The sequence below is a fragment of the Homo sapiens genome, chromosome 4 (genome assembly GCF_000001405.40).
Source record: "Homo sapiens chromosome 4, GRCh38.p14 Primary Assembly".
NCBI lineage: Eukaryota > Metazoa > Chordata > Mammalia > Primates > Hominidae > Homo > Homo sapiens.
In genome coordinates, this window is record NC_000004.12 from 3,988,102 (window position 1) to 4,011,355 (window position 23,254).

The following is a 23,254-nucleotide window of genomic DNA, read 5'->3' on the forward strand; positions in this document are numbered from 1 at the left end:
ACTAGGTGCCCTGGAAGAGAAGATTCATCCAAGTCATCAGGGAAGTTACTAAAGCAAGGTAAAAAATGCAGAGACGGGGACAAACACGCTTCTCCCAAGTCCTTTCTGTCCGCTCAGTCACCTCTATGCTTACTTTTCTTTCCTGTAAGTAGTGTCATGCGTTTTCTTCCCATTCCTAGTCACTCCTAGTCAACTAACTCCTCTCTTTACCATCTTTTCATCAGAACTTGAATCCTCCTCTCCTTTATGTATTAGTGATCATGTTTCTCCGTAATACTGCTAGAAACAAGAATTGAAACCTGGAAAACCTGCATTTGAGAACCAGATCTGCCTCTGCTAGCTATTTGAGAAGTGATTTTGTTCCATTCTTTTTGTTGTTGTCGAAACAGGGTGTCATTCTGTCGCCCAGGCTGGAGTGCAGTGGTTCAATCTTGGCTCACTGCAGCCTCAACCTCCTGGGCTCAAGCAATCCTTCCGCATCAGCCTCCTGAGTAGCTGAGACTACAGGTGTGTGCCACCACAGCTGGCTAATTTTTAATGGTTTTTTTTTGTTTACTTATTTTTTTTTTGTAGAGATGGGGTCTTCAGTGCCCCATTGCTCAAACCTCTAGGGGAGCATGCAGACAGGCAGCGAGCCCCATGGCAGTGTCCAGGGGTGAATGTTTATAGTTGAAGCACCAGTGGGCGTGTGTTACAGGGTGTTCTTTTAGTTTAGCCATCTGTAGGTAGCTTGTGTTAGTCGGCTCAATTAGACCTCCGCCTTATTGCAAGGACAGAGGGCTCTCTTTGTCCTGGGGTTCTTGCCTTGGTGTACCGAAAGTGGTGCAATCTCAGCTCACTGCAAGCTCCGCCTTCCGGGTTCATGCCATTCTCCTGCCTCAGCCTCCCGAGTAGCTGGGACTCCAGGCACCCACCACCACGCCCGGCTAATTTTTTTGTATTTTTAGTAGAGATGGGGTTTCACTGTGTTAGCCAGGATGGTCTGGATCTCCTGACCTCGTGATCTGCCCGCCTCGGCCTCCCAAAGTGCTGGAATTACAGGCGTGAGAGCGCAAGGTTTTATTGAGTGGAAGTATCTCTCAGCAGATGGGGGAGCCAGAAGGGAGGTGGTTTACCCCTGGATTCGGGCGAGTGGCCTGACTCTTCTCTGACTGTCCCAGCCAAACTGCGTTGTTCTGCAGTCAGTGGCCTGCGGTGTGCCGGTGCCCATTGGTGCGTTCCTCTTGATGTCCAGCGCCCTTGTGTTCCTCCGCTGATGTGCTCCTCTCGAAGTCCAGCTGCCTGTGTGTCTGCCTGCTAGGGTCTCAGGGTTTTTATAGGCACAGAATGGGGGTGTGGCAGCCAGGGTGGTCTTGGGAAATGCAACATTTGGGCGGGAAAACAAAAATCCCTGTCCTCACCTAGGTCCATGGGCACAGGCCCTGTGGTGAAGCCCTAGCCAGGGACCACACCCTCCTCTACCCAGTACTTCCCTTCCTCACTTCCATATCATTTAAAGGGACCACATTCTTCCCTTCCGAGCACTTCCCTTCTGTATCACAAAGTGCTGGGATTATAGGCATGAGCCACTGGTCCCAGCCAATTCCGTTCTTTTAATGCAAAGTAGAAAATTGGTGTTCAGAAAGGCCTGCCCTATCCACCTCAGGGAGTTGCTATGAAGATCAAATTAGATCATGTGCAACAGAAGTTTAGAAAAGATTCCAAAAGCACTGTGCAACGAGAATGTATTTTTAAACTCCACTGAGTGGACTTAAAACTATGTTTTTTTTTTCTTTCTTTCTTTCTTTTTTTTGTTTGAGACAGAGTTTCACTCTTGTTTCCTAGGCTGGAGTGCAACGATGCCATCTTGGCTTACTGCAACCTCTGCCTCCCAGGTTCAAGTGGTTCTCTGCCTCAGCCACACGAGTAGCTGGGATTACAGGCGCTCACCACCATGTCTGGCTAATTTCTTTCTTTCTTTTGTTTTTGTCTTTTTAGTAGAGATGGGGTTTCATGTTGTTGGCCAGGCTGGTCTCAAACCCCTGACCTTAGGTGATCCACCCACCTTGGCCTCCGAGAGTGCTGGGATTAAGGCTTGAGCCACCGCACCCCACCTGTGTTTCTTTTTTAAGCAAGAAAACAAATGTCTCTCCCCAGCGCTCACTAAACAAATCCCTCTGTTTTTCTTTCCATAGGATTCTTATCCTTCTTGCCCCACTGCAAACAATCTATTTTCTTTTGGCCCTTCCGTCCATCTGTGAAAGGGTCAGGCTTTCTAGCTAACCCTTCATCAAATATTTTTGATGACCACAGTCAAGACAGTACTTATTATTTTTTTTTGAGACAGAGTTTCGCTCTTGTTGCCCAGGCTGGAGTGCAATGGCGCAATCTCGGCTCACTGCAACTTCTGCCTCCAGGGTTCAAGTGATTCTCTTGCCTCAGCCTCCCAAGTAGCTGGGATTACAGGTGCACAACACCACGCCCATCTAATTTTTGTATTTTTAGTAGAGATGGGGTTTCTCCATGTTGGTCAGGTTGGTCTCGAACTCCTGACCTCAGGTGATCTACCCACCTCTGCCTCCCAAAGTGCTGGGATTACAGGGGTGAGCCACCCTGACTGGCCAAGACAGTGCTTATTAATGCCTGAGATGCATTCAGGAGCACATGAGCTGGCTGTGACTGTTCTAACAAAGTTCCCCAAATGGGTGGCTCAGGACAACAGAAAGTCATTCTCTCCAGTTCCAGAAGCTTGGTGTCTGAAACGGGCAGGGCCGTGCTCCCTCTGAAGGCTCTAGGGATGAATCCTTCCTTGCCTCTTCTGGCTTCTGGTGGTTGCTGGCAATCCTTGGCTTGTGGCCACATCATTCCATTCTCTTCCTTCATTCTCACGTGGCCTTCTCCCCTGTGTGTCTCTGTCTCTTCTTATCTTTCCATGAGGATGCCATTATTACTGGATTTAAGGTCCACGCTATTCCAATATGACCTCTTTGTAATTAGATCTGCAGTGACCCTATTTTCTTTTCTTTTTTTTTGAGATGGAGCCTTGCTCTGTTGCCCAGGCTGGAGTTCAGTGACACAATCTCAGCTCGCTGCAACTCTGCCTCCTGGGTTCAAGTGATTCTTCAGCCTCAGCCTCCAAAGTAGCTGGGATTACAGGTGCATGCCACCATGCCTAGCTAATGTTTGTGTTTTTAGTAGAGACAGGGTTTTGCCATGCTAGCCAGGCTGGTCTTGAACTCCTGACCTCAAGTGATCCTCCTGCCTCAGCCTCCCAAAGTGTTAAGACTACAAGCATGAGCCACCATGTCTTGCCCCTATTTTCTAATAAGGCCACATTCTGGGATTCCTGGTGAATGTGAATTTTTGGAGGACAGTATTCAGTCTGGCAAAAGGCAGAACATCCTCATTTTCTTCCCTACCTCAGAAATAAGGAAGTTAACTTCGACCCCTCGGAGAGAGAGAGAGGCTTCCTGAGCTTCCAACTATCAATTATCCAAATATTAGTCACAGAAGAGCACTAAGGGTTGTGCACAGCACGTGGCCAGCCCGTTCTCAGAGTCTGTCAAGTTTAAGGTGAACGCTAATCCTGAATGAGTTTTAAAATGTATTTGGCATATCCTGGTCATTGTAAAATATTCTCACATTGTGATGGCTGGGGCTTCCCTCTCAGGTGTAATCTACGAAGTCAGAGGTGACACAGCCTGGGTGAGGTGGGCCAAGCTGGGAACTGGGTTAGGAGGGAGGCTGGGGAATGATCTCCAAGGTCTCAGATCCCAAACTGGCTTTAGCCTGATTCATCCAGAGGGATCTCATAAAAAACGCACATTCCGGGGCCCAACCCAGACCTAATGAATCAGAATTACCTGGGAAGAAGCCTGGGGAGCTCTGTTTTCAGAAGCAGCCCAGCCGAATCCTACGGTCAGACAGGGCTAGGAAACCGAGCTCAGTCTAGGGCGGTAGTTCCCAAACTCATCTGTGCTTCAAAAAATACAGATGCTGATGTCCAGGCATGGTGGCTCATGCCTATAATCCCAGCAGTTTGGGAGGCTGAGGCGGGAGTATCGCTTGAGCTCAGGAGTTTGAGACGAGCCTGGAGAACATAGGGAGATACTGTCTCTATAAAAAATTTAAAAATTAGCCAGGCGTGGTGGTGCCCGCCTGTGATCCCAGCTACCGTGGAGGTTGAAGTGGTAGTGTTGCTTGAGCCCAGGAGTTGGAGGCTGTAGTGAGCTATGATTGTGCCACTGCACTCCAGCCTGGGTAACAGAGCGAGGCCCTGTCTCAAAAACAAAACAAAACAAAAAACGGATGCTATGTCCCATTCCGGAGGTTAGGGTTCAATTGTTCTTCGGTGTGGCCTGGGTTTTGGAAGACTTAAAAAAAAATCCCAGGTGACCCTAAAGTGTAGATGAGTTTGGAAACCACACATTTAAGGCACACTTGAATGGGGGAGCAGTGAGGTGGCGCGGGCTAGCCGGCCAGAACCCAGGGGTGGGGCAGTAGGAACCAGCATTGCAGAGGCCATTGAGGCTGGGAAGCATAGTGTCTGGGGCCCATAACAATGCTTGGACATGAATGCTTTAGACCCAAGACAATTGGCTGCTAAATGTGCAAACTGCAAGGCTGAAATGAACGCATGTTTAATGCTTTACAACACTGTCAAGGGATCAGCTGCAACTCCGTTCTGAGGGCGTGATGCCTGAGATATGCCTGTAATGGGGGTGGATTTTAATGAATTTAATATGGTGTGGAGTCGGGCCTTCAAGAGTAAAGAGGTCAGTTCTAAGTTGGTTGCAGGGGTCTGGGCAAAGGTCTTAAAACCCCATGGTGAGCAGATGGCCAATCCTGAACACCCCAATTTTAAAACAGGGCTTTTTTTCCAAGAGACTTTTTGAAAATAGCTCCTATTTTGAGGGGAGGAACCCTGGCAGGAGAGAGCGAGAGTTAAGCCCAGCTGAGAGGGGGTTGGCAGGCAGGGGACTGCCTGGTCCTCACTGAAGCTTGATACTCAGGGTGAGCTTCCTAAACCAATGCAGATTTGCTGGCCCACTGAGCCTCCCAGATGAGAACCTGCATTTCAACAAGGTCCTCGGTGCAGCAAAGTTTGAGATATACTGGGCTAGAACACCCAGGGGACACAAAGGTTCTCTGAAAACTAAGGAAAATAGGCAGGGTGTGGTGGCTCATGCCTGTAATCCTTGTATTTTGGGATGCCAAGGCGGGCGGATCACCTGAGATCAGGAGTTCGAGACCAGCCTTGATCAACATGGTGAAACACCATCTCTACAAAAAATACAAAAATTAGCTGGGTGCGGCTGGGCACAGTGGCTCATGCCTGTAATCCTTGATTACAGTAATGCCTACTTTGGTAGGCTGAGGCGGGCAGATCATGAGGTCAGGAGATCGAGACCATCCTGGCTAACACGGTGAAACCCTGCCTCTACTAAAAATACAAAAAAATTAGCCGGGCGTGGTGGCAGGTGCCTTTAGTCCCAACTACTCGGGAGGCTGAGGGAGGAGAATGGCATGAACCTGGGAGGTGGAGCTTGCAGTGAGCCGAGATTGCACCACTGCACCGCAGCCTGGGCAACAGAGCCAGACTCGGTCTCAAAAAAAAAAAAAAAAATTATCTGGGTGAAGTGGCAGGTACCTGTAGTCCTAGCCACTTGGGGGGCTGAGACAGGAGAATAGATTGATCCTGGGAGACGGAAGTTGCAGTGGCCCGAGATCGCACCACTGCACTCCAGTCTGGTGGCAGAGTGAGACTCCATCTAAAAAAAATAATAAATAAATAAATAAAAAATAAAAATAAATACTGGGCTAGAAGACCCAGGAGACCCGAACATTCTCTCAAAACTAAGGAAAATAATCTAGGTCACAAATATATTCTCTTTCTCCTTCTCCCCATTGCCCCCCTTCACCAGGAATCTTTATAGACTCAAATCGAGTTGATGTTCTATAATCAATTCTAGTCACTTTTATTTATATTTATTTATTTTAGAGATGGGGGTCTCCCTATGTTGCTCAGGCTGGTCTCAAATTCCTGGGCTCAAGTGATCCACCCACATCGGTCTCCCAAAGTGCTGGGATTACAGGCATCAGCCACTGCACCTGGCCGTCACTTTTATTTTTGATGTTCAAATTATAAGCTAATGCCTGTGAGACCATAGATTCTTTTTATGCACTCAATACATTTTTGTGTTTACCTTACATTTGTATTATGGACAAATTCTGTTTTTTCCACTTGTTTCTATTTGATAATGAAGCCCTCTGTGCCTATCACCAGCCTCAGCCGCCATCATCTCATTACCAAGCTGGGTTATTTTGAAGCAAACATCTTCTAATATTTAGCCGGCGTTCAAATTTCCCTAACCATCCTAAATGAATGTTTAGAATAGTTGTTTTATTGGAAACAAGGTCAAAACAAGTACATTTTACATTTTTAGGCCAGTCTTGAAAGTAAGTGTAAAACCTTGTGTGGGGTAGGAGGTGGGACTAGCCTCTCAAGGTGGGGCCAGGATACCAGACCCAATTGAGGACTAGCTAAGACAGATTCCACAATGAATAACACCAGGAGGTGGGAATATTAAGGTCTATTGTGAAGGATGGCTACCACAATTATTTGATCAACTAGTTATCAACCCTGACTGCAGCTGAGAGAGATTTGTTTCCGCTTTTTTTTTTTTTTTTTTTCAGAGACAGGGTCTTGCTATGTTGCCCAGGCTGGACTCAAACTCCCGGGCTCAAGTGATTCTTCTGCCTCAGCCTCCTGAGAGCTGAGGCTACAGGTGTGTGCCACTGTGCCTAGCAAGATATTAAAAAATACGTATGCCCGGACACCACTCTAAACCAACTAAATTAGAATCAGATATAGTGAAGTCATTAATCATTTTGCTCCTGGGTCTTTATGATAGTTTTATTCCTGGGAAACTCTTGGGAATGTGGTAGAGAGAGGGAAAGAAATGGGAAAATAAGATTTTAAGAAGTGTTGCTATGCATTATGAAAATAATTTTTCTTTGGTGTTTGTCTTGAGGGACGTCGGTAAACATTTCAATTGCCTTTCAGTATGCTTGGATGCTGGAATGATGGTTCTTTGAATGCAGCATCAAACTGGCATTGGGCCACATGGCAGCCAGCGTGAGCCTTTATGCCACATTTATAAAACATGAATGTCATGAGACCACTCTCAGGGACCTTACAATTTGGAGGGTTAGGTCAGATCCACAAATCTCTTCTATCTCATGGTAAAGGAAACCTGGCGTGTAGCAGGAGATGGCGTGATAGCCATAACATATTGCATGATCAGTATTTGTATTCTTCTTAGCAATATTAAACTTTTTGACCCCCTCCATTGTGTCATCAATTTGCTTAATACAGTTTCTGCCTCAGCGTCAGTTTTTAGGACTGGCATAAGCTGTTTGAAATCCAGGCACATACCCACCTGTCATCTTTGGCCTAGTTAACACCTCCCCTCCCTGAGTGGTGATTTGGAGAACCTGCTTGTTCCTCATCCCACTGATCCCAAACCCAGGACACCCCACAGCTGCTGACCAGGATTAAACCTAACGGAGATTTAATGCCTTTCTTCTGATTCTCAGGGACTTACATTCATTCACTTAAATACTTGCAGAGTCAGCCAGGTGTGGTGGCTCACACCTGTAATCCCAGCACTTTGGGAGGCCAAGGTGGGTGGAACCGAGGTCAAGAGTTCGAGACCAGCCTGGCCAACATGGTGAAACCCCATCTCTACTAAAAATACAAAAATTAACTGGTGTAGCAGCGCGTGCCTGTAATCCCAGCTACTCAGGAGGCTGAGGCAGGGGATTTGCTTGAACCTGGGAGGTGGAGGTTGCAGTGAGCCAAGATTATGCCAATGCACTCCAGTCTGGGCAGCAGAGTGAGATTCCGTCTCAAAAAACAACCCAAAAACTTGCAGAGTGAATTCAGGAAACCATGAAGTCCAGAGTTTGATCCAATCCCTTCCTTTTTCTCTTTCTCAAATATTTTGAGCCAGGTACTATTCTAGATTGTCTTGTGATATTTAAAATCTAGGAGAAGGCAGGAGAGAGAACTAAGAACAGAGAGCATGTTCTGAGATGTCTGCTGTCTTTGCAGTTACCTTCCCTCAATTTCCCTACTCATTGGCCATGCTAGAAAGCAGGTCTTGGTGCCATATTTGTACCATGGTACTTCCCCTCCCTATACTCAATTGGTTGTCCAGAAGCCCAATTATCACTCTCTCTCTGTCTCTCTCTCTCTCTCCCTCTCCCTCTCTCCCTCCCTCCCTCCCTCCCTCTCCAAGATATCCAGTAACAGACTGATCAGCTGGTGGTGGGTTCTGCTGGCTGCCATGATGGGCCGCCAGCAAAAAGGGAAAATTGGTAGTGAGTGAGAGAAACAGAGATAAGAAAGTCCACAGGGCTGATAAGAAAGACCAAGGGCTGCCGGGAGTGGTGGCTCATGCCTGTAATCGCAGCACTTTGGGAGGCCAAGACGGGTGGATCACGAGGTCAGGAGATCGAGACCATCCTGGCTCACACGGTGAAACCCCATCTCTACTAAAAATACAAAAAATTAGCCAGGTGTGGTGGCGGGTGCCTGTAGTCCCAGCTAATTGGGAGGCTGAGGTGGGAGAACAGCGTGAACCCTGGGAGGTAGAGCTTGCAGTGAGCTGAGATAGCACGACTGCACTCCAGCCTGGGCGACAGAGCAAGATTGCGTCTCAAAAAAAAAAAAAAAAAAAAAGAGACCGTGGGCTTCTGAGAGCCAGAAAGAGGCATTTTGGTTTCTGTAACTGCAGTTTCCATTCTCTCATGGCCTCTCATTTGTTTCTTGTGCCCATGAGTTTGCCTATTAGAGATAAGGTGTGCTCCTTTCCCTCCAGCTCATGCAAATGGGTTTCTGTTACTTACAATCATTGTTCCCTGATATGGATGGTGACTGATGCTCTACTAAATGCTGAAAAAAAGCAGAGTGGAAGCACAGAAAAGCGGGCTTCTCTGAGGAGGTGACGTTAGAGCCCAGTTGGAAGGCAGGAGTAAATGTGCACTGTGATTTTTTAGGATTAAAACCAAGTATCTCACTGCTTGGGCACATGTAGATAGAGGTGATTTAACAGTAAACTGTCCCAGTTGTATCCATTGTCAGTTACCTCACCACAGGGATTATGTAGCCATGAGTTTGGTTAGTGCTTATTTATTTTAGGTTGTTGTTTTTCCAAACCTCTTAAACGATAGGCGTTTGGAACAGGTGACAGCATCGTTCATTAATGTTGTGGACAAACCACTCTTTTATTACTCAAGACGGTAATTTTTAAAGAAAAAGAGGTTTAATGGGCTCACAGTTCCATGTGGCTGAAGAAGCCTCAAAATCATGGTGGAAGGCAAAAGGCACATCTTACATGGTGGCAGACAAGAGTGATGAGACCTATTTTGGTCATTGTTCACTGGCCATAGAATTTACTTCTATATTTTGAATTAAGACAAGAGCCAGGCACACAAGACGGTTACAGGTCTGCTTTTTATTTTTGATGATGATGATGATGATGATGATGATGATGATGAAATGGCTGACATGGTTCATGACTTGCTTTTTCTCATCATCTCAGAGCTAGATTTTTGGCTGGACTATTGGCTTGGGATAGATGAAAATCATTCCTTGTATCCCCTGATCTTAAAGTCAAGACTGAAGCAGCCTCCAGACACAAGCCTTCATGGGGCTTCAGACACCATGAGGAATGGGCGTCCCTGCAATATCGTCATGGCTGTCAAAAGTGTTATTGGAGCTGGGCAAGTGGGCGCTCTCCTGTCATTCCATCCTGCTTAGATTTCCCATTCAACATCAATCTTATTTCCTTTTTTTTTTTTTTTTTTTGACAGAGTCTCACTCTCTCTCCTAGGCTGAAGTGCAGTGGTGGGATCTCGGCTCACTATAGTCTCCACCTCCCAGGTTTAAGTGATTCTTTTGCCTCAGCCTCCGAAGTAGCTGGGATTGCAGGTGCACACCATCAAGCCTGGCTCATTTTTTTTTTTTTTTGTATTTTTAGTAGAAACAGGGTTTCGCCATGTTGGCCAGGTTGGTCTTGAACTGCTGACCTCAAGTGATCCACCTACCTTGGCCTCCCAAAGTGCTGGGATTACAGGTGTGAGTCACCGTACCTGGCCCCATTTCCTCTTATACCATAAGTCATTGCCTGCAGATGTGTTTTCTCCATTAGTTTGCAAAAGCTTCCTGAGAGTAGGTCTGTGCCTCATTTATTCTGGAATCTTCCTGGCACAAAGCACAGGGCTTTATCCTCAGTAGGCATTCAACAAATGTTTAATTTCATTCAACAGCTCCTCTTACCACTGCCCCCACCTTATTTGCAGGTGACTAAGTATAATCAGAACAAGTAGGTATCATAAGATTTAGTCCAGAGTCAATTTGGGAAGAAATTACTTTAGTGATATGAAAAGAAACCATGCTATTTAGTCAGAATACTTCTGAGAGTATCCCCTGTCCAAGCATTTGCTGAATTTCTATCTACTAGTTTTCAGGTGGAACAGTATGGTTGCAGAGAGTCCATTTGGACATAGATACACTTTCATGCATTCATGTCTTTAACAATAATTTGTGGCCCTACTGTGTTTGTTCACTAACTCCTTCGAACCTACCATATAAGCTATATGTGTATTTTCCTTGTAATTTGGGAGGTCCAATGCTTCATTAAGCTCACATGCCTGAAACTAATGAAGAAACTAGCTCGTTAACCAGCTAGTATAAAAAGAGCCACCAAAACAAGTCAATCATCCGCCTTAAATCAGCCCAGTACTCCCATCTTGAGCGGAGAAGCCCATTCTGAATCACATTCAAGACACTGATGGAAAAACAGCTCTCTCTGGGTATCAAAACCACGCTCACTCCAAATCCTCCTCCCCAGAGTTCTCCTCATTGCTCACCCACTGAACCCAGAACAAACCAGAAGTGCTTGAAATGAGGACGGGTAGCTCCGTGTACCAATCGGAATTTAAAACTATGTCAATTCCTGCTATAGAAATGAGGCTTCTCCCCAGGACCAGCATTCCACGAAGGCAGCCCTTTTCTAGATGGAGAAAACAGAACCTGAAGGCACCCGTTTCCCTAAACTGCTCTCGCTCATGTGTAAGTACAAATGAAAAATGCTGACGCTGCTTCTGTTGGCATTGCTTTATAATTACGGCCATCAATAAATCATTTTATCCTTGAACAAGACTAGAGAGTGACCCGAAGGCAGAGGCATGATTCCTTAGGAATTAGGCCAACAGAGAATGGGCTATCTCTCTTCCCACCTCTTCTCTTACTCTGCTGTCAGAAACAGAAAGGTTCTCTGTGAGTAGCTGGGAGCAGACGGCCGCACTTGAGTTCCATCAGGGGGTTCTGTTGACACAGTTTTACCCCAGCCTGCCTTGATGGCCACTGCCACACAAGCTGCATCTGTTCTTTCTTCTGCACCTTTTGTTACTTCGTTGTTTTTCCTCTTTCTAGTGTAGTGAGCTGAATGGTGGCTTTGCACGAGATATATCCAGATCCTTGTGCCTAGAATCCGTGGAGGTGGCATTATTTGGAAAAAGGGTCTTTGCAGATGTAATTAAGTTAAGGATCTTGAGATGAGATTAACCTGGAGTATTTTAGGTAGGCTGTACATCTAATGACAAGTGTCCTTATAAGAGGACACTTTTGTCGGGGCACAGTGGCTCATGCCTGTAATCCCAGCACTTTGGTAGGCCGAGGCGGGTGGATCATCTGAGGTCAGGACTTTGAGACCAGCCTGACCAACATGGAGAAACCCCATCTCTACTAAAAATACAAAATTAGCCGGGCATGGTGGCGCGTGCCTGCCATCCCAGCTACTGGGGAGGCTGAGGGAGGAGAGTTGCTTGAACCCAGGAGGAGGAGGAGGCAGTGAGCTGAGATCATGCCATTGCACTCCAGCCTGGGCAACAAGAGTGAAAATCCATCTCAAAAAAAAAAAAAAAGAAGAACACTCTTTTTCATGTGCATCCGTGTGAAGAGACCACCAAACAGGATTTGTGTGAGCAATAAAGCTGTGTATTTCACCTGGGTGCAGGCAGGCTGAGCCCAAAAAAGAGAGTCAGCGAAGGGAGATGGGGTGGGGCTGTTTTATAAGATTTGGGTAGGCAAAGGAAAAAGGGGTTGTTCTGTGGCAGGCAGGAGTGGGGGTCACAAGATACTCAGTAGGGGAGCTTTTGAGCCAGGATGAGCCAGGATAAGGAATTTCACAAGATAATGTCATCAGTTAAGGCAGGAACAGGCCATTTTCATCTATTTTGTGGTGGAATGTCATCAGTTAAGGCAGGAACCTGTCATCTGGATGTGTACGTGCAGGTCACAAGGGATATGATGGCTTAGCTTGGTCTCAGAGGCTTGACGTTCCTGTCTTCTTATATTAATAAGAAAAATAAAACGAAATAGTGGTAAAGTGTTGGGACGGCGAAAATTTTTGGGGGTGGTATGGAGAGATAATGGGCGATGTTTCTCAGGGCTGCTTTGAGCGGGATTAGGGGCAGCATGGGAACCTAGAGTGGGAGAGATTAAGCTGAAGGAAGATTTTGTGGTAAGGGGTGATATTGTTGGGTTGTTAGAAGAAACATTTGTCATTTAGAATTATTGGTGATGGCCTGGATACAGTTTTGTATGAATTGAAAAACTAAACAGAATAAGAGAAGGAGAAAAACAGGTATTAAAGGACTAAGAATTGGGAGGACCTAGGACATCTAATTAGAGAGTGCCTAAGGAAGTTCAGCATAGCCTTGCCAGCAAAGATTATGTATTTAAGAGTTAAGAGTGGCGGTTTGGGGATAGTAACAGTAGATATCAGCTGTGATGGCTTGGAGAAACAGTGTAAACCAGCAGTGTAACAAGAGCAGGACATGTATGAGTTGTTGAGAACGATGAATAGGAGTATGACTAGACAGAAGATAGTAGGGATGACAAGTTTTTTGGGGCACAGTCCAAGTTGGTCTGGTGTCTGGAATGAGACTGGGGCCTAATAAAAAGGAGCGTCTATATAGGAGCTCAAATGGGCTGTACCTTGTAGCATTCCAAGGACAGGCCTGACTTCTGAGAAGGGAAAGTGCTAAAAGTATTGTTCAGTCCTTTTTTAGTTGGTGGCTGAGCTTGGTGAGGTGTGTTTTTAAAAGACCATTAGTCTGTTCTACTTTCCTGAAGACTGAGAACTGTAAGGGATATAAAGATTTCACTGAATACTAAGAGCCTGAAACAATGCTTGGCTGATTTGACTAATAAAGGCCGGTCTACCATTGGACTGTATAGAGGTGGGAAGGCCAAACTGAGGAATTATGTCTGATAGAAGGGAAGAAATGACCGTGGTGGCCTTCTTAGACCCTGTGGGAAAGGACTCTACCTATCCAGTGAAAGTGTCTACCTAGACCAAGAGGTATTTTAGTTTCCTGACTCGGGGCACGTTGAGTAAAGCTAATATGTCAGTCCTGGGTGGGGGCAAATCCCTGAGCTTAATGTGTAGAGAAGGGAGGGGGCCTGAATAATCCCTGAGGAGTAGTAGAATAGCAGATGGAACACTGAGAAGTTATTTCTTTGAGGATAGATTTCCACAATGGAAAGGAAATAAGAGTTTCTAAGAGGCGGGCTAGTGGCTTGTACTATAGCATAGCCTGCCTTTGCTGGTGTGTGGCGATTAGGCCTGGTGGAACTGACATCAATAAACTAAGTGTGATCAGGATGAGAAACAGGGAAGAAGGAAATGTGGGGAAATGGCGAGAACATCAGGTGGATCAGAGAGATACAGTCATGAGGGTCAGGCGTGGTATCAGGAATAATGTGGGAGGCCGGATTGAAGTCCGGGCCAGGAACAATGGTACTTATGGGAGACTTAACAAAGAGTGAGTACAGCTGAAGGAGCCGGGGAGCAGAAAGTATATGCATCAGGTGTGAGGAAGAAAATAGATTTTGGAAATTATGAGAACTGTAGAGAGTGAGTTGAGCATGGTTTGTGATTTTAAGGACCTCTAAAAGTATTAGGGCAGCAGCAGCCACTGCATGGAGACATAATGGCCAGCCTAAAACAGTAAGGTCAAGTTGTTTGGACAAAAAGGCTACAGGAGGCAATCCTGGTCCTTGTGTAAGAATTTCGACTGCACAGCGCTGCACTTCGGTTGTGTGTAATGAAAAGGGTGGGGATGAGTCAGGGAGAGCTAGGGTGGGGGCAGTCTTTAAAGCTGTCTTCAAGGAACAGAAAGAGGGGTGGGGAAAGGATTTAAGATCTATGGGGTCAGCTAGGTTTACTTTTTTGAGTTTATATAATGGTTTTGTTAGGATGGCAAAACCAGGTATCTAAAGGTAAAAGTATCCAACCATGCCCAGGAAGGAAAGGAGTTGTTGTTCTGTAGCTGGGGTTGGGGTTTGAGAGATTAGTCGGACACGATCGTCAGGGAGAGCACGTGTGTTCTTATGAGAATTATGCTGAGATAGGTAACAGATAAGGGAGAAATTTGGGCTTGAGTGAAGTAATGGGGGCTGTCTGTGAAGCTTGGCGTCAGTACAGCCCAGGTAATTTGCTGAGCCTGATGGGTGTCAGGGTCAGTCCAAGTGAAAGTGAAGAGAGGCTGGGATGAAGGGTGCAAAGGAATAGTAAAGAAAGCAGGTTTGAGATCCAGAACAGAATAATGGGTTGTGGAGGGAGGAATTGAGGATAGGAGAGTATATGCGTTTGGCACCTTGGGGTGGATAGGCAAAACAATTTGGTTGATAAGGCATAGATCCTGAACTAACTTGTAAGGCTTGTCTGGTTTTAGGACAGGTAAAATGGGGGAATTGTAAGGAGAGTTTATAGGCTTTAAAAAGCCATGCTGTAGCAGGCGAGTGATAACAGGCTTTAGTCCTTTCAAAGCATGCTGTGGGATGTGATATTGGCATTGAGCGGGTTAAGGGTGATTAGGTTTTAATGAGATGGTAAGGGGTGCATGGTCGGTCGCCAAGGAGGGAGTAGAGGTATCTTCTACTTGTGGGTTAAGGTGGGTGGCAATGAGATGTAGCTATAGTCCAGGAATAGTCAGGGAAGCAGATAATTTAGTTAAAGTGTCTCGGCCTAATAAGGGAACTGGGCAGGTGGAGATAACTAAAAGGAGTGCTTAAAAGAGTATTGTCTAAGTTGGCACCAGAGTTGGGGAGTTTTAAGAGGTTTAGAAGCCTGGCCGTCAATACCCACAACAGTTATGGAGGCAAGGGAAACAGGCCCTTGAAAAGAAGGTAATGTGGAGTGGGGAGCCTCCGTATTGACTAAGAAGGGGATGGACTTACCCTCCACTGTGAGAGTTAGGTAGAGCGTCTGTGATGGTCCTGTAGGCTTCCGAAGTGATCGATCAGGCAGTGTCAGTCTTCAGCTGCTAAGCCAAGAAGATCTGGGAAGGAGTCAGTCAGAGAGCCTTGGGCCGGAGTTCCAGGGGCTCTGGGAGTGGCTGCCAGGTGAGTTGAACAGTCCAATTTCTAGTGGGGTCCTGCACAGATGGGACATGGCTTAGGAGGAATCCCAGGCTGTGGGCATTCCTTGGCCTGGTGGCCAGCTTTCTGGCACTTGTAGCAAGCTCCTGGGGGAGGCGGTTCTGGAGGAACGCCTGGCCACTGCGCTTTCAGCGTTTGGAAGTTCTTGTGTGCTGGAGATGTGGCTGGGGTTTGTCTCACAGTGGAGGCAAAGAATTACAACTCAGAAATATGTTGCTTCTTGGCTGCCTCTACTCTATTATTGTACACCTTGAAGGCGAGGTTAATTAAGTCCCGTTGTGGGGTTTGAGGGCCAGTATCTAATTTTCAGAGCTTTATTTAATGTCGGGAGCAGATTGGGTAATACAATGTAGATGAGAATAAGACGGCCTGTTGACCTTTCAGGGTCTAGGGCTGTAAAGCATCTCAGGGTTGCTGCCAAACGAGCCATGAACTGGGGTGGATTTTTATATTTGATGAAAAAGAGCCTAAATGCTATCTGATTTGGGATAAAGAAAAAGGAGCATTAACCTTGACTGTGCCTTTAGCTCCAGCCACCTTATTAAGAGGAAATGGCTGGGCAGGTCGAGGAGGGCTAGTCATGGAACTAAACTGTAAGCTGGAGCTGGTGTGAGGAGGGGAGGTGATAAAAGGATTATAGGGTGGAGGAGTGGAGGCTGAGGAAGCATTGGGGCCTAGCTCAGCCTGGCGAGGAGGGGAGAGGTCAGATTAGTCTTCAGAAAAGGAAGATTAGAAAGACTCAGTGACGCTTGAGGTTGGGACTGAGGGGACAGGTGGGATGGAAAGAAGGAAGATTTGGGATGAGTTGCACTAGGAACAGACTAGGGAGGGACCGACGTGTAAAAGAATGCCTGGACGTCAGTCCCCTCAGACCGTTTGCCCATTTTACTACAAGAAATATCTAGATCTTGTAGGATGGAAAAATTGAAAGTCTCATTTTCTGGCTATTTGGAACTACTGTCGAGTTTGTATTGGGGTCAAGAGGCATTGTGGAAGAAAATAAGGCATTTAGGTTTTAGGTCAGGTGTGAGTTGAAGAGGTTTTAGGTTTTTAAGAACACAGGCTAAGGGAGAAGAAGGGGGAATGGAGGGCAGAAACTTGCCCATAGTGAAGGAGGCAAGCCTAGGGAAAAGAGAGAGTAGAGACACAGAGATAAGGGGTGGGGGGGTTCTTGCCTTCCAGAAAAGCGAGAAAGGGGTTGGGGTGCAGAAATAAAGGGTTGTAGTGCAGAGCTAAGAGGTCAGAGCACAGAAATAAGGGGTTGGGGTGCAGAGATAAGAGGTCCGGTCACGGAAATAAGGGATAGGGTCACAGAGATAAGAGTTCGGGGCATGGAAATAAAGGATCGGGGCACAGAGATAAGAGTTTGGGGCACGGAAATAAGGGATCAGGGCACAGAGATAAGAGGGTCTCCTGTCCCTCCCCCAGAAAAGCGGGACTTGCCACTAAGGGTGAAGGACCAAGGCAGGCGTCCCTGCGTGGTCTGACACCAGGCCGGAATTTTGGCTCCACGGATAAAACGTGTCTCCTTTGTCTCTACCAGAAAATGAAAGGAATTGAAATTAAGAGAAGGGAGAGATTGAAGTGTGGCGCCAAGATTGAAAGGAGAAAGAGGTTGAGGGATAGTGAGGGAGGTTGGAGAAGAGAGTAAAAAGAAGCCGCTTACTGGATTTGAAATTGGTGAGATGTTTCTTGGGCTGGTCAGTCTGAGGACCTGAGGTCGTAGGTGGATCTTTCTCACAGAGCAAAGAGCAGGAGGACAGGGGATTGATCTCCCAAGGGAGGTCCCCCCCACATCCGAGTCACAGCACCAAATTTCACATGGGTGTGTGTGAAGAGACCACCAAACAGGGTTTGTTTGAGCAATAAAGCTGTTTATTTCACCTGGGTGCATGTGGGCTGAGTCCGAAAAGAGTGAGTGAAGGGAGATGGGGTGGGGCCATTTTATATGATTTGGGAAGGTAAAGGAAAAAGGGGGGTTGTTCTCTGGCAGGCAGGAGTGGGGGGTCGCAAGGTGCTCAGAAGGGGAGCTTTTGAGCCAGGATGAGCAAGGAGAAGGAATTTCACAAGACAATGTCATCAGTTAAGGCAGGAACTGGCCATCTGGATGTGTACATGCAGGTCACAGGGGATATGATGGCTTAGTTTGGGCTCAGAGGCCTGGCACTCTTCTCCAGAGGAGGAGACCGAGACAGAAGAGAAGAGGAGGAGGCAAGGTGATCACAGAGGCAGAGATTGGATCATGCGGCCACAAGTTGAGGAATTCTGATAGCCTCTACAAGCTGGAAGAGGCAAGGAATGGATTCTCCCCTAGAACCTCTGAAGGAGCATGGTCCTGCTGACATTTGATTGATTTTGGACTTCTGGCCTCCAGACATTTTTTTTCTTTTTTTTTTTTAGACAGAGCCTTGCTCTGTTGCCCAGTCTGTAGTGCAGTTGCACGATCTCGGTTCACTGCAACCTCCACCTCCCGGGCTCAAGCCATTCTCTAGCCTCTGCCTCCCAAGTAGCTGGGCTACAGGTGTGTGCCACCATGCATGGCTACTTTTTGTATTTTTAGTAGAGATGAGGTTTTGCCATATTGGCCAGGCTGGTCTTGAATTCCTGGCCTCAAGTGATCCACCCACCTCAGCCTCCCAAAGTGCTGAGATTATTTAGGTGTGAGCCACAGCACCAGGCCCAGACTTTGTTTGAAGCCACCCATTTCATGGTTCTTTGCTGCAGTGTTTGTGGAATATGAATGCACTCATGCTGTTGGTTGAACTTTGCTGACCTTGTGTCTGTTATTCCCTGGCAGTTCTACAGGGCCTGGAGCTGATACGAAAAACCTCCCTTCTTTCCCAAATGGTCCCCAGCTTCCCCGTTCACTGAAGGCCCTGCAGTCGGGAACAGTCAGGACTTTGTACCCAGTTGTTTTGGGTGTTTGGCCGACCCTTCCTCTTGTGTGATTCATGGACCCGCAGCATTGCGTCACCTGTGAGCTTTTGGAATTGAAGACTCTCAGGGCTCACCCGGGAGGACGTGCTGGGCCAGAATCTGCATTTTAACAAGATGCCCAGGTGATTTGCGTACACGTTCAGATCTGAGAAGCGCTGGTAGGAGAGGCTTTAAGGTGGTAATTAGATCTTTTCTCCACCTGCAAGAATCTTAGTTTCTTCATGTTAAATCAATTAACTGTGCCAATGTCATGGGTGTTATAAAACAAAACAAAATCCTTACATCAAGAATGCACCCTGGTGTGTTATGGATGTGGGTGAAATGAAATGTCTGGAATTTGCTTTAAAATATCCTAAAATAGCAAGAAGGAAAAGAAAAGCGGGAACTGGAATGAGATTGGCGAAATGTTGACAAGTACTCACAGTGGGATGATGGGTGCATGGGGGTTCATGGTGCAATTCTCTCCCTGCTTTTTGTGCGTATGGGAAATTTCCATAATGAAAAGTTAGAGGTCGGGCACGGTGGCTCATGCCTGTAATCTCAGCATTTTGGGAGGCTGAGGTGGGTAGATTGCTTGAACCTAGGAGTTCAAGACCATCCTGGACAACATGGTGAAACCCCATCTCTACTAAAAATGCAAAAATTAGCCAGGCATGGTGACAACATGCCTGTAGTCATGTTGAGGCACGAGGTTGAGGCATGAGAGTCACTTGAACCCAGGAGGCGGAGGTTGCAGTGAGCCGAGATCGCACCATTACACTCCAGCCTGGACGACAGAGTGAGACTAGGTCTCAAAAAATTTTTTAATTTTCTTTTTTTTGAAATGGAGTCTTGCTCTTTTGCCCAGACTGGAGTGCAGTGGCATGATCTTGGCTCACTGCAAGCTCCACCTCCCGAGTTCACTCCATTCTTCTGCCTCAGCCTCCAGAGTAGCTGGGACTATAGGCACCCACCACCATGTCCGGCTAATTGTTTGTATTTTTAGTACAGATGGGGCTTCACTCTGTCAGGATGGTCTCGATCTCCTGACCTCGTGATCTGCCCACCTTGGCCTCCCAAAGTGCTGGGATTACAGGCATGAGCCATCGTGCCCGGCCTTAATGTTGTTTAATTTTTTTCTTTGTTGAGACGGGATCTCACTCTGTAGCCCAGGCTGGAGTGCAGTGGTGTGATCCTGGCTCACTGCAGCCTCTACCTCCTGGGTTCAAGCGATCCTCCCACCTCAGCCTCCCGAGTAGCTGAGACCACAGGCATGTATCACCACACCTGGTTAATTTTTTCCCTTTTTCTAGAGGCAAGGTCTTGCTGTGTTGCCCAGGCTGGTTTTGAACTCCTGAGCACAAGCAATCTTCCTGACTAAGCCTGGGAGTAATCCCAAAGTGCTGGGATTACAGGTGTGAGTCACTCTATGCAGCCTCAACTGTTTTTCATGACTCCACTTTTTCTCCCCTCTTGGAAATGAGTAGTCTTTGAGGGAATGTCATTTTGTCTCAATCTCTGGTTTCTTTGCTCAGTGCAGCTGTGTTTGGGGCTTTGTTGATCTCCAGGCCTTTTTCAGCAGCGTTGTCCCTGGAGAGCAGGATGGGAGCTGATGGCTTCTCAGCATCTTTTAACTCAGTTTAAAGATGACTATCAACAACATCTAGTCAGCATCTGTTGCTCTCAGCAGCTGGGACTTCATTTCCTTTCTCTTTCTCCACCTCTCTAACCTCTTGAAGACTCTGTCTTTGTCAGGGGTACAGCATCACCTGTGTGGCCCTTAGGCTCTCTTACATACATGTGATCTGTGTATTATGTCTTTACTTCAGGGCTTCTCAGCCAGGGGGTGATTTTGCCCCCCAGAGAACATGTGGCCATGTCTGGAGACAGTTTTGGTTGTTGCGGCTGGAGGAGGTGGTGCTCTTGGCATCTAGTGGGTAGAGGCCAGGGATGCTACTAAACATCCTACAATGCCCCGACAACTCCCACTAAGACAGAATAATGATCCAGCCCCAAATGTCAATAGTGCTGAAACTGAGAGACCCTGATTCCATCTTAGAGATCATCCAAGCACACTTGGCCAAATTGTTTTTGCTACTGTCCCATGAAGAAAAGGCAGACTCATGACTGATGGCAACATCGATGGGAATTTTGTTTACCTCTTCTTGGTGGACTTTGGGATACGATGACTTACCATTTGTGCAAGTTGTGCATTACATACCTCCAGGGGGCAACACCCACATATTTATGAAAATGCCACCCCAGGAATTGCACAGTACATAGTCTACGTGGCAATAAGCAGTTGCTCTGGTTTTGGGGTTGCCCTGGGCTGCTCTGAAACTTGGAGGAATTTTATCTCTGGCCATTAGAGGCCCTGAGCATGACATTGAGTATCCTTTCAAGAAAGGAGAAATGTTGAACAGAGAGGACCTCATTTTTATAACTCTTGACCATCATCTAGTTACGGAGCATCCACTTTTCACCCGTGGGCCATATCCACTCGCCGGATGTAAAATGATCAAATTATAATATCATGGCTTACACTTTTGATAGCTTCTGCCCGGAACATGGCGGTAAGAGCCTCTCATTTTCAATTGATTCATTGGGGGAGAAAATATACAAGGCTGCCCTAAGACTTTCTATGACACACCATTTGCTTGACGGGATTTCTTTAGTTTCGGTAGCATAACTTATTCTAACTGGTCCTCAATCACTTTGCTATAAAACCTGAGATTGTGAAAATGTTCATTTTCATTACCAGTGATGGAGCAGTAAGTACAGAGTTCTGCAGAGGGAAGGAATCGAGAGATTTAAACTAGCAGAATGAGCTGCTCACCCTCAGAATTGCTTTTAATCTTGGTGAGAACTGAGGGGAATTTCGACAGGGTTCAGTGGGACTGCGGGAAGTGGGGCTGGGAGATGGTTGTTTGCACGTGTGGTCAGCAAATCCAGTGAGGGGGTCCATGTACTGTGGGTAGCCCCACAGATGGAGTTGGGATTGCCCTGGACTGAGTACTGGGTCATCAGACTGCAAATCGCCATTCTCAAGACATCGAGGCCCAGGCTGGTGCAGGAGATGCATTGCAGTGTGTCAGCCTTTCTTCCATCGCTCCTCTCCAATGACAGTTCTCGATTTTCCACCGAGGAGTCACTAGTACCCCACGGCATGTGTGTGACTGGCCACTCCCCACCCTGATCTGGGGCTGGGGCATGTGGTCCCAGCCTGGATGTCAATATCCTTCCACCACCCTGGCCACAGTGATTGGGTCTGAGAAGCAGATTAGCCAAAGGAGAGACAATCTTGGAAATTTCATGTTCATGCTTAAGAAAGTAAAATGGAAAGCGGGGGGAGGGTGAGGGGTCATTCTGATGATATAGTTTGAGGACCTGGATGTAGCCACACCTGTAGCTGTCAACTCTGTGCCACAGTACTGCTTTTTTTTTTTTCCTTCAAATTTAAATACTTTCTAGAGGCAAGGTCTTCCTATGTTGCTTAGGCTGGTTTTGAAAAGTCCCTTTCGGGGGGATGCTTTCACTGCTTCACTTCCTTTCTATGACAGCTCAGGGAATCAGAAGACAAGGGAGATTTTTTTTTTTTTTTTTGAGACAGGGCTTGCTCTATTGCCCAGGCTGGAGTGCAGGGGTGCAATCACAGCTCGCCACAGCCTTGATCTTCTGGACTCAAGCGACCCTCCTGCTTCAACCTCCTGAGTAGCTGGGACTGTAGGCGAGTAGCACCATGCCCAGCTAATTAATTTTTTTTTTTTTTAAATGAGATCTCCCTATGTGACCCAGGCTGGCCTCAAACTCCTGGGCTCAAGTGATCGTCCTGCCTTAGCTTGCCAAACTTACAGGTGTGAGCCCCCAACACCAGTCAACACTGTGGTCTTATGACCTGGTGTCCCCCTAGGCCCTGAGCAATGATCCTCCTGCTTCAACCTCCCAAAGTGCTGGGATAACAGATGTGAAGCAGCATGTGTGGCCCACATAGTATTCTTATGGGTTAAATTGAGTCCTCCTCAAAAGATGTTGAAATCCTAAATTCTAGCAGCTCAGAATGTGACCTTATTTAGAAATAGAGTTATTGCGGGTCGGGCGTGGTGGCTCAAGCCTGTAATCCCAGCACTTTGGGAGACCGAGGCAGGTGGATCACCTGAGGTCAGGAGTTTGAGACCAGCCTGACCAACATGGAGAAACCCTGTCTCTACTAAAAATACAAAATTAGCTGGGTGTGGTGGCGCATACCTGTAATCCCAGCTACTCGGGAGGCTAAGGCAGAAGAATAGCTTGAACCCAGGAGGCGGAGGTGGCATTGAGCTGAGATCACACCATTGCACTCCAGCCTGGGCAACAATAGTGAAACTCCGTCTCAAAAAAAAAAAAAAAAAAAAAAAAAAACCAAATAGGGTTATTGCAGATGCTATTGATTAGAATGAAGACATCCTGGAGTAGGGAGGGCCCTAAGTCAATGACTGGTGTCCTTATAAAAGAGGAGAGGACACGCTGAGTCACAGAGACACAGGGAAGAAGGCCATGGATCCGACGGAAGATTGGACTGATGCGTATGCAAACCAAGGAACACTGAAGACTGCCAGGAAACCACAGGAAGCTAGGACGAGGCAAGGCAGGACTCCCCGACAAGTGCAGGAGGGAGTGTGGCCCTGCTGGACCTCCATTTCAGACTGCTGGCCACCAGAACCACAAGACAATTTCTCTGGTTTCAAGTCACCCAGCTTGTGATACTTGGTTGTGGCAGCCCTAGGGAATGAATATAAGTAGTTTCTTTTTTTTTCCTTTTTTTGAGACGGAGTCTCACTCTGTCGCCCAGGCTGGAGTGCAGTG

The 23,254-nt window shown here is 46.9% G+C and overlaps 1 long non-coding RNA gene across 1 annotated transcript; it reads left to right on the forward strand.

Moving 5' to 3' along the window:
- Positions 1-470: 470 nt before the first annotated feature.
- On the forward strand, positions 471-18,503 carry LOC105374359 (uncharacterized). Its single transcript, XR_925070.3, has 3 exons — positions 471-507; positions 11,013-11,119; positions 18,294-18,503. It is a non-coding gene; the product is annotated as an uncharacterized LOC105374359 (long non-coding RNA).
- The last annotated feature ends 4,751 nt before the right edge of the window (positions 18,504-23,254 follow it).